The sequence below is a fragment of the Homo sapiens genome, chromosome 8 (genome assembly GCF_000001405.40).
Source record: "Homo sapiens chromosome 8, GRCh38.p14 Primary Assembly".
Classification (NCBI taxonomy): Eukaryota; Metazoa; Chordata; class Mammalia; order Primates; family Hominidae; genus Homo; species Homo sapiens.
Genome location: NC_000008.11, coordinates 98,907,013 through 98,921,896, shown reverse-complemented (window position 1 = coordinate 98,921,896; position 14,884 = coordinate 98,907,013). Strand labels below are relative to the sequence as shown.

Here is a 14,884-nt window from a genome sequence, read left to right as displayed (position 1 = left end):
CATGGCAAAACCCTGTCTTTACTAAAAAATACAAAAACTTAACCAGGCTTGGTGGTGCGCACCTGTAGTCCCAGGTGCTTGGGAGGCTGAGGCAGGAGAATCGCTTGAACCCGGGAGGTGGGGGTTGCAGTGAGCCGAAATCATGCCACTGCACTCCAACCTGGGTGATAGAGTGAGACTGTCTCAAAAAACAAAAAAATAAAATAAGAGAAAGGAAAAAGAAAAGAAAGAAATGGCTGTGGATACCCAGCTAACAAAGTTTGCCACAAGGGACCCAGTGTAGTATGAAATGCCTCCAGGCCATCATAGGCTGTAACAACTTGAACATTAAAGATTCAACATATTTGCATGCAAGGGTGATCTGGCTGTGACATCTGTCATCTTATTGACCACCAGGATTAATTCAGCTGATCTGGCTGGCTAGGCAGGTGTCCCCTTCCTCCCTCAGCACTCCATGTGCCTCTCTCCTGAAGCTGTGCGCTCAGTTGAAGTGGATGACCATCTCCGACAGAGGAGGACCGGCCTTCGGTCAAGGGTACAGAGTAGCTGAGCTCCCCTGCTAGAACCTCCAGACAAGCTCTCAAGATTCAACATATTCATTCATGCAGTAGAGTTTTATGTTTTTTTTTTTTTTGAAGGTTTTGTCTGAGCCAGACCCTGAAGATAGAGCAGTGAATAAGATAGACACAACTCCTTCCCTTGAAGAACTGAAAGTCTAAAAGGGGAAATAGATAGTAGACAAATAATTACACTAAAATATTGTGAGCATATCATCACCAGATACTAATGACCTCCACCAGGATTTCACCCTAAATCCATTTGCACCAGGCTGATCTGCAGCTTAGAAACCCAGAAAAGATCTTATCAACTAAATAGATATAGGGATTCTTTTAACTAGATACACCCACCCAACCACTCAACCAACCAACCAACTTATTTCAAGGGTGTATTTCAAACAGAGGTATTACAATTAGGCTTTTTTGTAGTTTCACAGGTATGCCTGTAAGAGGCAGTTTTTGTGTTAATTTGCCTCCTCCCAGCTCTTTGCACTGTGTTAAGAACCTGGACCCTGACAAGGCAGGTCAAACAGTTTCTTAGGGTGAGGTTGTAACCTTCTGCTGTTCTAACCTCAGCCTCTTGCCCTGCTTCTCCAGGGGCTGGAGGATGCTGCCAGGCAGTGAGCATGGCTGTAGGCCAGCACAGGAGCATGGGGGGCTTGCAAACTGCACATGGGTAACATTTGAACAAACTAGAGCTTCTGGAAAAATCAAAGAACAAAGCCCCATCCCTGAGAAAAACCTACAATGGACTCCGCCAGGTCCAAACAACGGCTGCACCACTTGTGGCAACATAAAAGGCCAACTTCCCGGCCATGAGTAATGTGCTTTTGGCAGCTGTTAAAAGGGGCCTAAAACCCCACTGGCTCCCAGACCCAGCCGGACGGGCCAGGTGCAGGCTGACAGGAGAGCTGTGTTGATTCTAAAGGCCAGAGATGTTATTTTGAGGTTTGACTGTTTATGTCTCATTACTGCTAATTTCCATGAGTTTGCAGGCCTCGTTCTGTCAGCTCTATCCCCTGGTGGAGAAATCTATCTACACATGAAGACTATTCACTAACCTACCCCAACCTCCAATTTTTTTGTGTGATGAGAATCATTTCTGGGAATACAACAATCTACATATGGAAGTTTCTTAAGCAATTTCAGTTTAGGTTTGTGGGTCCCTCTCCTCTGAAGTTCTCTCACTTGGTATGAGCAGGGCTGGCCTGGGACACATTTAAACCACGTTGTAACCTTCTAGTTGCCCTCCTCTTAGGAAGCTTGTAACTATTAATACAGTGGCCTGTGCAAACACATGAAAATATTAGCTTTCTTTTATGCAGTTAGAAAATGAAATGGAAAAAGATTGGATTCATAAGGCAAAAGCATATATAACACGTGGGATTAAATTTGACAAGAAATGTGCAGGGGACAAAAGGCTCCTTCCTCCCTCCCCCCAACATTTTTGTGTATTCCCCATGCAGTCCTTTGACTGTGTCGGTCCTCATCCCACAGAGCCCCTTCCTGGTCCCCAGTCCTACCTGCTGCTGCTCCTAAGACTTTTCTTAGCTTTTTTATCATGGAAAATTCTAAACATATACAAAGTAAATCCAATAGTATAATGAACACTCATGTACCCATCTCATTCTGCCATCTCTATATTATCTATTCCTCCACTCTTCCATTGCATTATTATTTTTCTTAAGAGTTGTTTAAGGTAAAATTTACGTACATTGAAATATTCAGTTCTTGGGCTCTTAGCGGTCCAAGTTTGACAAATGGATACATCACCCATGTAACTTACTCCCTATCACAACATAGAATTTCCCCCTCCCCTGATTCCTTCTTGTACCTTCTCAGTCAATCCCCCCTAGGCAACCATTGTTCTGATTTTTTTTTAAACCTCAGATTTATTGTTATTTTTTGGCCTGTTTTAGAACTGACAGCGGTTTTTCTGATTTGTGTCCTATCTCTGAACTCTACTCTTAGTTTCCTAACATGAGAGCTGGCTTATCTACTAAGACAACACACTGATTTGTGGGTAGGTGAATGGACAGATGTATTACCTCTCTCAAGTCAGACCTTGGCATTTCACAGAGGTCTTTGGAGATAGAGACATTAGCCTCAAAATGTCCCTCTTCTAAGATGAGATCTTGTGGCAGGCTGTGGTAAGGGAGGCATATGAGGGGTCCCTCAACTCTTATCCCCTGGGGCCTGTTGGATATGGTACAGTATGTATGGCAGAATATAGGGTTCATAAACTGTTACACAGGCAGATCTTGCTTGCGAAATCTTGGCTTATGAACACTCTCTACTTCTTTGCCTTATTACAAGGTGTCATTCTCACTGTTTTGAGCCCATCTCCCTTAGCCAGCTCCCCTAACCCTTTCTTCTGCTTGGCCATGACACTGTTATTGCCTCTTACTCTCAGGCCGGTCCTGATGTGGCTGACAGAGGTGCCAGGACCCCTCTTCATGTTCTGATTGTCAAATTCTCTGCTGAGGCATGAATTTGAACATTGGAGAGTAACACCTTAAACAAAGGTTTAGATTTTCTTTTTTAAAGTTTTGTTTTTGTTTTTGTCTTTTTGAGACAGGGTCTCACTCTGTCACCCAGGCTAGAGTGTAGTGGTGCAATCAATGACTCACTGTAGCCTTGACCTCCTAGGCTCAAACGATCCTCTTGCCTCAGCCTTCTGAGTAGCTGAGACCACAGGTTCATGCCACCACCACAGCTAATTTTTTATTTTTTGTAGAGTCGGGGTCTTGCTATGTTGCTCAGGCTGGTCTCAAACTTCTAGGCTCAAGCGGTCCTCCTGCCTAGGCCTCCCAAAGTGCTGGGATTACAGGGATAAGCCACCACACCCGATCTTCTTTTCTACAGTTAATAAATACTAAGTTGTATTCTCTGAGCTACCTTTTCAGGTAGTTCTGGATCTCAGCAGAGAGGAAAGAATATTTGTTAAGCATTGATTATGCTCCAGGCTCTTAATCAGTCTCTAGGATAAGTTAGCAGCAAGATATACCCCAAATACCTGACTTTTGCAAGTCATTCAGCAGGGCTTTGACCCCCCAGCTAAACTAGGGCTTCACAGAGGGAGACTTGATAACATCATTATTATTATAGCTATAATATGTTGGGCACCCACTATCGAGCAAGCAATTCATACACGTTATCTCTTCTAGTGCTTTTGAAGGCAGACATTTTAGTCTTCACAGAAAAAGGGGGAGGGAACAAACATTGATTGATTTGCAATTCACATCTCAGCCTATGAAGTAGGCACTATTATTATCCCTTCTTAAAGACTGAATGAGATAATACATACAAGGTCTTTAGAACAATGTCTGCCCTATAGAAAGCACTACATGAACACTTACCTTTATTGTTACTAGGTAATTCACTTGCTCAAAGTTGCATTGCTAGAAAGGAGTAGAGAATGGGTCTTGAGCTGTTGGTTTTTTCCCTCCCACACTCCCCAGAGATGGCTTCGAAGTCTTGGCACCCAGAAGACATGACACTAACCTTGAGCTCAGTTCTTGGTGTTTGGCAGGGTGTTGGTGGAATCTGCAATTTACAGTGAAATAGGAGCGGTTTCTTCCAAGATGGATGATGTCTTAGCTTGTTTGGGTTGTTATAACAGAATACCATAGACTGGATAGCTTATGAACAACAGAAATTTATTTTCTCACGGTTCTAGAGGCTGGGCTATTCGAGATGAAGGAGCTGCCAGATCCGGTGTCTGATGAGGGCCTCTTTCTGGTCCTTCCCATGTCCTCAAATGACAAATAGTGCAAATGAGCTCTCTGAGGTTTCTTTTAAAAGTGTACTAATCCCGTTCTTAAGCGGTCCATCCTCGTGACCAAGGCTAACCTCCAAATACCATCATCAAATTGGGGGTTAGGATTTAAAGATATGAATTTTTGGGGGTCACAAACGTTCAATCCATTACAGATGAGAAGCCCACCTCTGGATTCTGCTCCCTGGAATGCAGCCTGCATTACTGTCCTCTTTAAAAAGGCTATGCTGGTACATCTGCCATTTGCTCAGAGCCCTGGTCAATTAGATGACTGTTAGATCACATATTTATCTAAGACATTATGTCTGTAGGAAATCAATGAATATAAATATTTGTTAAGTGCCTATTGTGTGTCAAGGCAATTAAACAGGAACATCTGCATTTCAGCAGATTTCTGGAATAATCCTTACCATGACCTAGATGCACTGGTTTCCGTCTGTTTTCTGACTTCATCCTCTGTCCCTCTCCCTTGCTCATTGTGCTCCAAGAACATGGGCTGTCTTTCTAGTCCATTGACATGTCAATCTCATGCCCAACTCAGAACCTGCATGAAGAAGTGCAGATGCTCTTCCCAGAACAGATGCTCCTCCTCCACATCTGTTCATGATTGGCTCTTTCCCATTGCTCAGGACTCAGCTCCCAAATCCCCATCAAAAAGGACTGACTAACCTAGAACCACTCCCATCTCCACCCTGTTTATTGTTTTGTTTTGTTTTGTTTTTAATTACTTTGCTCTGTTTATTTTCTACTTAGAACTATTCCCAAACTAAAAATATCTTACAATTACTTAGGAAGCTGCACGAGGGGCAGACATCTTAGTCTGATGATTTAATGCTATATCCCCAGAGCCTAGAACAGTGATCTCAGTATTTGTTGAATGCATGATGAATAACAATAATAATAATAACTTAGGTAATGTATTGCTGCTACTCATGGTCATGTGGTCCTCTCAATAACCAGTGGAGACAGGGAGGGCAATTATATTTACACTGCAGGAAGAGAAACTAAGTCTCAGTTGTGAAGACTGTAGACACAGTGCTTGTTCCATTTTCCTTCTTAAACTTTTTGGCATCCTTCACTGCATGTCCAGCACTACGCTAGAAGCTGAAGTGGTTTTTTGTTTGTTTGTTTGTTTGCTTGCTTGTTTTGAGGTGGTGTCTTGCTCTGTCACCCAGGCTAGAGTGCAGTGGCGTGATCTCAGCTCACTGCAACCTCCGCGTCCTGGGTTCAAGCTATTCTCCTGTCTCAGCCTCCCAAGTAGCTGGGATTACAGGTGCCTGCCACCACACCCAGCTAATTTTTGTATTTTTAGTAGAGACGGGTTTCACCATGTTGGCTAGGCTGGTCTCGAACTCCTGACCTCAAGTGATCCACTCGCCTCGGTCTCCCAAATTTCTGGGATTACAGGCGTGAGCCACCACGACGGGCCAGTTTTCGTATTTTTTTAAACGGGGTTTTAACACTCCCTTTCTTTTGAGGACACTTGCTCTCCTTAGCTTTTGCAGGGTTATGCCAAAGCAGGAAAAAAAAATGCATTTGAGACAGTGAATAAAGGCTTCTTGTAGCATCTGCAGCAGAAGTTGGTGAATCTGCTACTGCTTTGTAGGTCTTTGAAACAGGAGGAATTTTCTTCTGCCTTTCATAGTTTCTGGAAAAGCTATCCTAAAATAGATAGGTAAAATGATATTGGTCACTAGTAAAGGAAATATGAGCTAACCATGTTGGCATAAAAAGGAAGGGAGAAACTTCTTTTGGATAAGAACTTGATGTGTGTGGAGGGGCGGAGGATGGATATTTTCTCTGAGTGGTGGGTGCCCTGTGTGACAGAATGATGAACACGTCTTATCTGGAGAAAATTTTTATAAGACTCCATTTTAAAAATCACACGCACACACAAACACACACACACACATATCAATCAATCAGCATTAATTATTATTTGCATTTCAAAAAGATTTCTCAAATGATAAAATAATTATTTTAATATCCAAATAAAAACTTTTGTGTATATTAAGTACTATACCAGGCACTTTTATAGTTTCCTATTCAATCTTCAAAACCATTGTATTAGGGTTCTTTAGAGGACAGAACTATATATATATATATATATATATATATATATATATATAGGAAAGTTTATTAAGTATTAACTCACATGATCACAAGGTCCCACAGTAAGCCGTCTGCAGGCTGAGGAGCAAGGAGAGCCAGTCCAAGTCCCAAAACTGAAGAACTTGGAGTCCGATGTTCGAGGGCAGGAAGCATCCAGCATGGGAGAAAGATATAGTCCGGGAGGTTAGGCCAGTCTCTCTTTTTATGTTCTAGTGGTGCTGGCAGCTGATTAGATTGTGTCCACCCAGATTAAGGGTGGGTCTGCCTTTCCCAGCCCACTGACTCAAATGTTTATCTCCTTTGGCAACACTCTCACAGACACACCCAGGATCAATACTTTGTATCTTTCAATCCAATCAAGTTAACACTTAGTATTAACCATCACAACCACCCTTTCCTTTGAGGTGGGTGTCTAATCTACACTTTTAGAGAAGAAACCAAAGCTCAGAGACAGTGCTTAAGGATCTTGCCCAAAGTTGCACAGTAAGTAGCAGAAATGAATTTGGACCTAAATCCAGTGTTCTTTTTACATTTACATTTTTAAAATGTAGTCCTGGATACTTGTCCTACAACACATAAAATTTGATTCTGTTTAGTGAAAGATGTATTTGCCTTCAATTTTTCAGGAATTTTTCCTTCAATCAACCACTGTTTATTGTCCTTGTGTCACATCCATCTTTCAGGCACATATTCAGCATATCAGCACGTTTAGCTCTTACATGCCCCCAAGCATGTGGGGCTGGCTCCACCATCCTGTTTTGAGGACCCATGTTTAGAAATCCATTCTGCTTAAAGAGAGATGAGGACAGTTGAGAGGACAGAAAACAATCCAGTACAATTAACATGTCAATAGCGGCAACATGAAACCCAGTGTTGAGCAATTTGGGCCTGTGTGAACAAACAACTGAAATAATTTCAAGCCCCGTATTTTAAGAGTGAAGAGAGAGAGAGAGAGAGTGTGTGTGTGTGTGTGTGTGTGTGTGTGTGTAGGCATGTGCTTGCACACAAGTGTAGCTTACAGGTTTTTTCATTTTTTTGTTTTAAGACAGGGTCTTGCTCTGTTGCCCAAGCTGGAAGGCAATGGCACAATCACAACTCACAGCAGCCTCAACCTCCTAGGCTCGAGTGAGCGATCCTCCCACCTTAGCCTCTATTTTTGTATTTTTTGTAGAGATGAGGTATTGCCATGTTGCCTAGGCTGGTCTCAAACTCCTCAAGGGATCTGCCTGCCTCACCTCCCAAAGTGTTGAGGTTACAGGTGTGAGCCACCGCACCTGGCTGGTTTTTGTTTTTTTAATATATTTTTTATCTTTATAGATTTAGGGAGTACAAGTGCAGATGTGTTACATGGACATATTGCATAGTGATAAACTCGGGTTTTTGTTTTTTTTTTTGAATTGGCTTTAACTGAATAATCAATCACTGCAATAAATTTCACCTTAATTTATTGGATTACCATGAGAATGTTTGGATAGAAACAAACTAAAGTATCATAGAATCTTAAAGCAGTTCCCACCTGATAAATCCAGCCTCCGTGTTTTTGCGATGAGAAAATAGAGGCCAAAAGAGGCTTAAGGGTTTCAAGGTCTCTCAGTAAAGACAGACCCCAGGTATCTCAGCCTGTGGCTGCCAGAGGCAATTGCCTTGGAGAACTCTGTTCTCACTCCTGGACTTCTGGTTGCTCCTAAGCAGAAATATTCATTTGTGCCTGGTGTGGAAGATTATTTTCCTCAGGTTCAGTCACATTGCAGTGTGGAAAGGGATTCAGTTTAATACCTGAGTGGGCACATGTGGTGCAACAGGTTTGTACACTGAAATACCTATGTGAAAATCTTCTTACCTGGCATCTCCTTGGCGGCATTCAGGTGCATGTGGACACCTTGTCCCAAGGAGTCTGGATGAAGGCCAGGAGTCTTGCACAGCAAGTGTGTGTGTTGAACCAACATTTCTGGTTATGACTCTCCAGGGACTCTTCTTTGAAGATTATGCAACTCCAGCTAAGAGGATGGGCTTTCCTTACCAGCTTTGCACACTGAATTAACTTTTAAAGAACAAACAACAGCTTCTCTACCCTCTTTTATAGAAGTTTTTATTTCTCTGTTTCTGGCTAAGTAGTGTTTAGAGAAGGGAGAGAGAATTCTGTTAGACATGACAATGTTTTTCTAATTTTTGTTTTAATTTGCAAGTCATTTTTAATTTGTGGAATTTGAAAGAAGCATAAATCAAGTGAAAATATTATTGCACATTTTTAAAAAAGAAAGCTCTTATTTGTTTTTCAAAATACAACAGGTTCCTCTGCTTAATGATTTTTTTTTTTTGCCATTTATGTGAACCCCTAATTTTTAAAATCAATTTAGTTTCAAAAATAGCCAAAATGGGCTGTGTGTAGTGGCTCACGCCTGTAATCCCAGATATTTGGGAGGCTGAGGCACAAGAATTGCTTGAACCCAGGAGGTGGAGGCTGCATGAGGCAAGATCATGCCACTGCACTCCAGCCTGGGGGACAGAGTGAGACCCTGTCTCAAACAAACAAATAAACCACAACCAGTGAGACTTTGTCAAAAAAACAAAAAACAAAAAAAACACAACCACTCAAAACTATTTCTTAGGATCACATGGCCCTGGTTACCTGGCTGGAGTTTTTACCATTTATTATTGCTTCAGGTGGGTTAGGATTATTCATTTCCCTTGGTCTTATAGTTCTGAATGGAAGACTTCTTTTCTTAAAGTAACATCCCTGGTCTCTCTTTACCCCCGCTACCTCTGGTGTTTGGGCATAAGAACTGGGCATGCATGACTCAGCCTCTTGGACTCCACTTCCCTGTTAGCCTGGCTGCCTGCAGAGAGTATGTTTTTTAGTCTGTTCTCTGCATAGTGTTGTTAGTGGGGCACGTTCCATCCCTATGAAGAGAGCCTGTGGCTTTCCAACTCTTCCTGTGACCAAGCAGACACGTTTAATTTGGGGCAAAATGTAAGTCACAGATTTAAAACCATGTTCTCCAATCCAGCTTTACCAGCGATCAAGATAAAGTTTTTTTTTTTTCGTTTGTTATTGTTGTTGTTGTTGTTGTTGAGATGCAGTCTCACTCTGTCACCCAGGCTGGAGTGCAGTGGCGCGATCTTTGCTCACTGCCACCTCCTCCTCCCGGGATCAAGCAATTCTCCTGCCTCAGCCTCCAAGTAGCTAGGATTACAGGCGTGCGCCACCACATCGGGCTAATTTTTGTATTTTTAGTAGAGACGAGGTTTTGCCATGTTGATCAGGCTCATCTTGAATTCCTGACCTCATGTGATCCACCTGCCTCTGCCTCCTAAAGTTCTGGAATTACAGGTATGAGCCACGGTGCCCGGCCCAAGATAAAGTTCTGATCTTCAACTGTCTGACTCTTGTGTCTATCTCTCAGTTGGTCTTAAACTCAGGTGAGGAAAAAGGGCTTAGTTCTGTAAAACCTCAACACATATAATGTTGTATAGACAAATTCTTAATGTTTTTCTATAACCTAATTATTTGGACTGGAAGTAATCTATTTTGGTCAATATTTCAAGGGTGGAAAGCACTACTATAGAAACTAACAAATTTGAATCATTTAGGAATAAGCTTTATTTTTTATTTTATTAGTTTTCATTTTTTAAAAAATTCCCATTATGTACAATTAGAAAAATAGAAAAAAAGTAGGATAAATACTCTTATTATAAGGCCCCCATTCAAAATATACTAACACGATTGTTTTGGTGTATTTCCATTAAGAATATTTTCTGGGGTGGACATGGTGGCTCATGCTAATCCCAGCACTTTGGGAGGCCGAGGCGGGCAGATCACTTGAGGCCAAGAGTTCGAGACCAGCCTGGCCAACACGATGAAACCCCGTCTCTACTAAAAATACAAAAATTAGCCAGGCATGGTGGCGTGTGCCTGTAATACCCAGCTACTTGCGAGGCTGAGGCACAAGAATCACTTGAATCTGGGGTCAGAGGTTGCAGTGAGCCAATATCATGCCACTGCACTATAGCCTGGGTAACAGAGCAAGACCCTCTCTCCAAAATAAATAAATAAATAAATAAATACAATACAATATTTATATGAGTAATACATCCTTGTGGCTGCATTAGTAATTTTGTAAGGGAGGCTGCTGATGTATTATTGATCATGGCAAAAACAGAATCTTGACTTAACAATTAGTTGTGGTCTACCTAATTTATCTATACATAAAGAGCTTTTTAAATTTAGAACTTGAGGAAGACAATAATTTGTTGAGAACGACCAATCCGCTCATTGTGAAAAGAACTAGAGTTTGCTTACAAGATTACATGCAACAAACTACAAAAAATGAACAGTGACATCTGACTCCAGACCCTAGTTCTTCCTCACAAAGAACTAGTGGTAACCTTTTTCCAGCATGTGTTTCTTCCAGCAGTCCACAAAACTGCTTGTGGCCTGTTGCCTTGCTATATATGGACCTCACCAGAAGCCATGTGATGTGTCAGCTCTGTTTCCCTTGCTAAGTGCGATGGCTGACCACTAAGCTGGCTGGAGTGGGCTATTCACCTATGCTCTCCCTGGGGCTATAATCTCTCTGCCCAGTCAGTTTTCTCTTGAGCACTGTAACCGTGGGAGGGACATGTTTAACACCTTTCAGTGGAAAGACTCATTTCCTCTGGAGTCTAAGTTGAAGAAGGATATTCTCACAGGCAGGTCGTAGACTGTGTTAAACACTTCCTGTGTGATGTCATTTAACACTGCAATCTCCCACAACCCAGCAGTAATGCACAGGGACTAATGTCATCCAATAATGCGGGCTACATGGGCTTTATTTTAAAACACAGTTGTAAATTCTGTAATGTACCACATATATCCAATAAAAGACAGGATTTTCGTAAAAATATTCCTCAGAAAAGAGTCACCATATGTTCAAGTCCTTACAAAGTTGATCACACTATAGAAGTTTCCTTCTCAATATTTTGTTTTGAATAACAACTTATTGTTTAGGGAAGACATGTTAGTTTGAAAAAAACTTCAGCCAATGTTAGTTCTTCACGTTTATTGAGCTCATCTGCTGGAATATTTAAAAGTTACTAAAAAACTTAATATGGAGTCAATAATTAATCCTGAGGTTATTACTACACAACTTTAAGTCCTGGTTACATTTTCAAAGTAAGTTTAAAAAAATTACTTTAAAAAGTATAAGTGGTTATATTAATACATACCTATGTGGCAAATGAGAAAAATTATCTATCCTACAACTCAATAAAAAAGACAAATTATCCAATTAAAAATGGGAAAAGGATCTGAATAGACATTTCTCCAAGAAAGCTGTACAAGAGACCAATAAACACATGAAGAGATGCTTAGCATTATAAGTCACAGAAGGACAAATCAAAACTACAATAAGATACTACTTCATACCCACTAGGTTGGCTGGAAACAAAAAGTCAGATAACCATGAATATTGGTGAGGATGTGGAGAAATCACAATTCTCATACACTGCTAGTGGGAATGTAAAATGGTACAGCTGCTTTGAAAAAAAGTCTGGCAGTTCCTCAAATGATTAAACATAGTATTACCATATTCTACTCCAGGTATATGCCCAAGCAAAATGAAAACATATGTCCACATAGAAATATGAACATGAATGTTTATAGCAACTATATTCATAATAGCCAAAAGCTGGAAACAACCCAAACATTTATCAACTGATGAATGGATAAACAAGATGTTGTATATTTATACAGTGGAATATTATTTGGCTGTAGAAAGAAATGAAGTACTGATACACGCTGCAACATGGATAACCCTTGAACATATCATGCCAAGTGAAAGAAGCCAGTCACAAAGGACCACATAATATATGATTCAATTTGTATGAAAGTCCAGAAGAGGGAACTCTACAGATCAGAAATTAGATCATAGGTTACTTGGGCCTGGGGGAGGGGATGGGTAGATAAGGAGGTGGTAGTTAAAGATTACGGAGATTTCTTTTTGAAGTGATGAAAATGTTTTAAAGCTGATTGTGGTGATGGTTACATATATCTGTGAATATACTAAAAAACATTGGATTGTACACTTTACGTTTGTGAGTTGCGTGGTATGTGAATTCTATCTCAAAAATTCAACATCTGTCGATAAAATATGATTATCTACTGAAAAAAAGGTCAACTATCCTGATAGTTTATAACTGGTTGGTTGTAGCTTATAATAAAAATTCCACGGCCAGGAGCCTGTATAAAATAAAAAGTAGTATATCACAAATAAGATAAAACAAAATTAAGTTTTTGTTTTTGTTTTTGTTTGAGACAGAGTCTCACTCTGTTGCCCAGGCTAGAGTGCAGTGGCGTGATCTCAGCTCACTGCAGCATCCATTTCCTGGGTTCAAGCAATTCTCCTGCCTCAGCCACCTGACCTGAATAGCTGCGATTACAGGCACGCACCACCATGCTTGGCTAATTCTTGTATTTTTAGTAGAGACAGGGTTTCACCATCTTGGCCAGGCTGGTCTTGAACTCCTGACCTCAAGTGATCTGCCCACTTCGGCCTCCCAAAGTGCTGGGATTACAGACATGAGCCACCTCTCCCAGCCTTGTTTTTCTTTTTTTTTTTTTTTTTTTTTGAGAAGAAGTCTCTCTCTTGTCCCCCAGGCTGGAATGCAATGGTGTTATCTCGGCTCACTGCAACCTCCGCCTCCCGGGTTCAAGGGGTTCTCCTGCCTCAACCTCCTGAGTAGCTGGGATTACAGGTGCCTGCCACCACGCCTGGCTAATTTTTGTGTTTTTAGTAGAGACAGGGTTTCACCATGTTGGCCAGTCTGGTCTTGAACTGACCTCAGGTGATCCGCCCGCCCCGGCCTCCCAAAGTGCTGGGACTACAGGCGTGAACCACCACGCCCAGCCATTTTTGCTTTGAGACAAGGTCTTGGTCTGTTGCCCAGGATGGAGTGCAATGGTGTAATGATAGCTCACTGGAGCCTCAAACTCCTGAGCTCAAGTGATCCTCCCACTTTGGCCTCCCAAAGTTTTGGGATTACAGGCATGAGCCATCATGCCCACCCAAAAAGAAAACTAAGTAATACCTAGACATTAGGTCACTCTTGATGGATGTTAGGAAACCAACCCATTATTCTGAAAACTAATAAAAAGAAGGAATCACACATTTATCTTGCCTTTCCTGAAGACTGCACCTTAGGATAATCAAAAGTTGATAAGAGAACATTTTTCCTTAGAGAAGTATTCTAGCTAATAAATGAAGAAGAAATGATAGAATCAGAGTATCACCATTTTGCACCCTTTCTGAAATAGTGAATCTAGGTAGTGATGATTAATGGCTATAATAACACAAAAAGAAAAACAACCAACCAATTAGCCTCTTGATGAAAGTGCTAAGAAATATTCTTGCCAATAAATAGAATGTGAATGTGATAAAGTCTCCAGAGCCACCTACTATTTCCCAGGAGATAAAGGGGAGTAGAGGAACATGATACAAGACACCACAGGAATGCAGTCAGCAAAATTCCAGGTATGGGAAACTCTAAAGGGCGGATCAACAAATGAATTGCATGCAAGGAAAAAAGAGCCAGAGGAAGGAGGACACCCATAGATTAAAAGATAATTAAAAAACATATCAACTAAATGCAAGTTATGGACCTAGTCTGGATCCTAATTTAAACAACTTTATGACACAATTGGGGAAATCTGAACACTTGCTACATGTTTAATGATGTGAAGGCATTATTAATTTTTAGGTACTATAATGTGATTGCAGTTATATTTCTCAAAAAGAGCTTTCTCTTCGGGATACATATTGAAATATTTTTGGGTGAAATGATAAGATATCTGGGATTTGCTTAAAAACAATTCAGGAAGGAGGGCATGGAGGATTATGAACGAAACATTGGCCATGAGTTGATAGTTGTTGAGGTTATTTTTTTGTTTGTTTGTTTGTTTTGAGATGGAGTCTCTCCCTGTCGCCCAGGCTGGAGTGCAGTGGCACAATCTCGGCTCACTGTAACTTCTGCCTCCCAGGTTCAAGGGATTCTCCTGCCTTAGCCTCCCGAGTAGCTGGGACTACAGGTGGTGCCACCACGCCTGGCTAATTTTTTTGTATTTTTAGTAAAGACGGGGTTTCACCATGTTAGCTAGGATGGTCTCGATCTCCTGAACTTGTGACCCGCCAGCCTCAGCCTCCCAAAGTGCTGGGATTACAGCCATAAGCCACCGCACCCGGCCTTTTTTGAGATTTCTATATACTTCTATTTGTGTTTGAAATTTTCTGTAATAAATTTTGTTTTTTGGTTGCTTTTGAGACAGAATCTTGCTCTGTCGCCCAGGCTGGAGTGCAGTGGCACAATCATGGCTCACTGGAGCCTCCAAATCCTGGGCTCAAGCAATTATCTCACCTCAGCCTCTGGAGTAGCTGGGACTACAGGTGCATACCACCATGCCTGG

General features: G+C 41.3%; 1 protein-coding gene and 1 pseudogene across 8 annotated transcripts in view, besides 2 other annotated features; both read left to right on the top strand.

Moving 5' to 3' along the window:
* The window catches only part of STK3 (serine/threonine kinase 3), a 598,636-nt gene that overhangs the window by 20,714 nt on the left and 563,038 nt on the right, over positions 1–14,884 (top strand). The gene's annotated exons all lie outside the window — the stretch shown is intronic.
* On the top strand, positions 347–664 carry RN7SKP85 (RN7SK pseudogene 85; annotated as a pseudogene).
* Positions 9,023–9,522: an enhancer, noted in NCBI's record as "H3K27ac hESC enhancer chr8:99924603-99925102 (GRCh37/hg19 assembly coordinates)". NCBI's record gives its function as "activates a minimal SCP1, AML or CMV promoter by ChIP-STARR-seq in naive H9 embryonic stem cells {active_cell/tissue: H9 hESC(naive)}" and the evidence as "EXISTENCE:reporter gene assay evidence [ECO:0000049][PMID:30033119]".
* Positions 9,523–10,024: an enhancer, noted in NCBI's record as "H3K27ac hESC enhancer chr8:99924101-99924602 (GRCh37/hg19 assembly coordinates)". NCBI's record gives its function as "activates a minimal SCP1, AML or CMV promoter by ChIP-STARR-seq in naive H9 embryonic stem cells {active_cell/tissue: H9 hESC(naive)}" and the evidence as "EXISTENCE:reporter gene assay evidence [ECO:0000049][PMID:30033119]".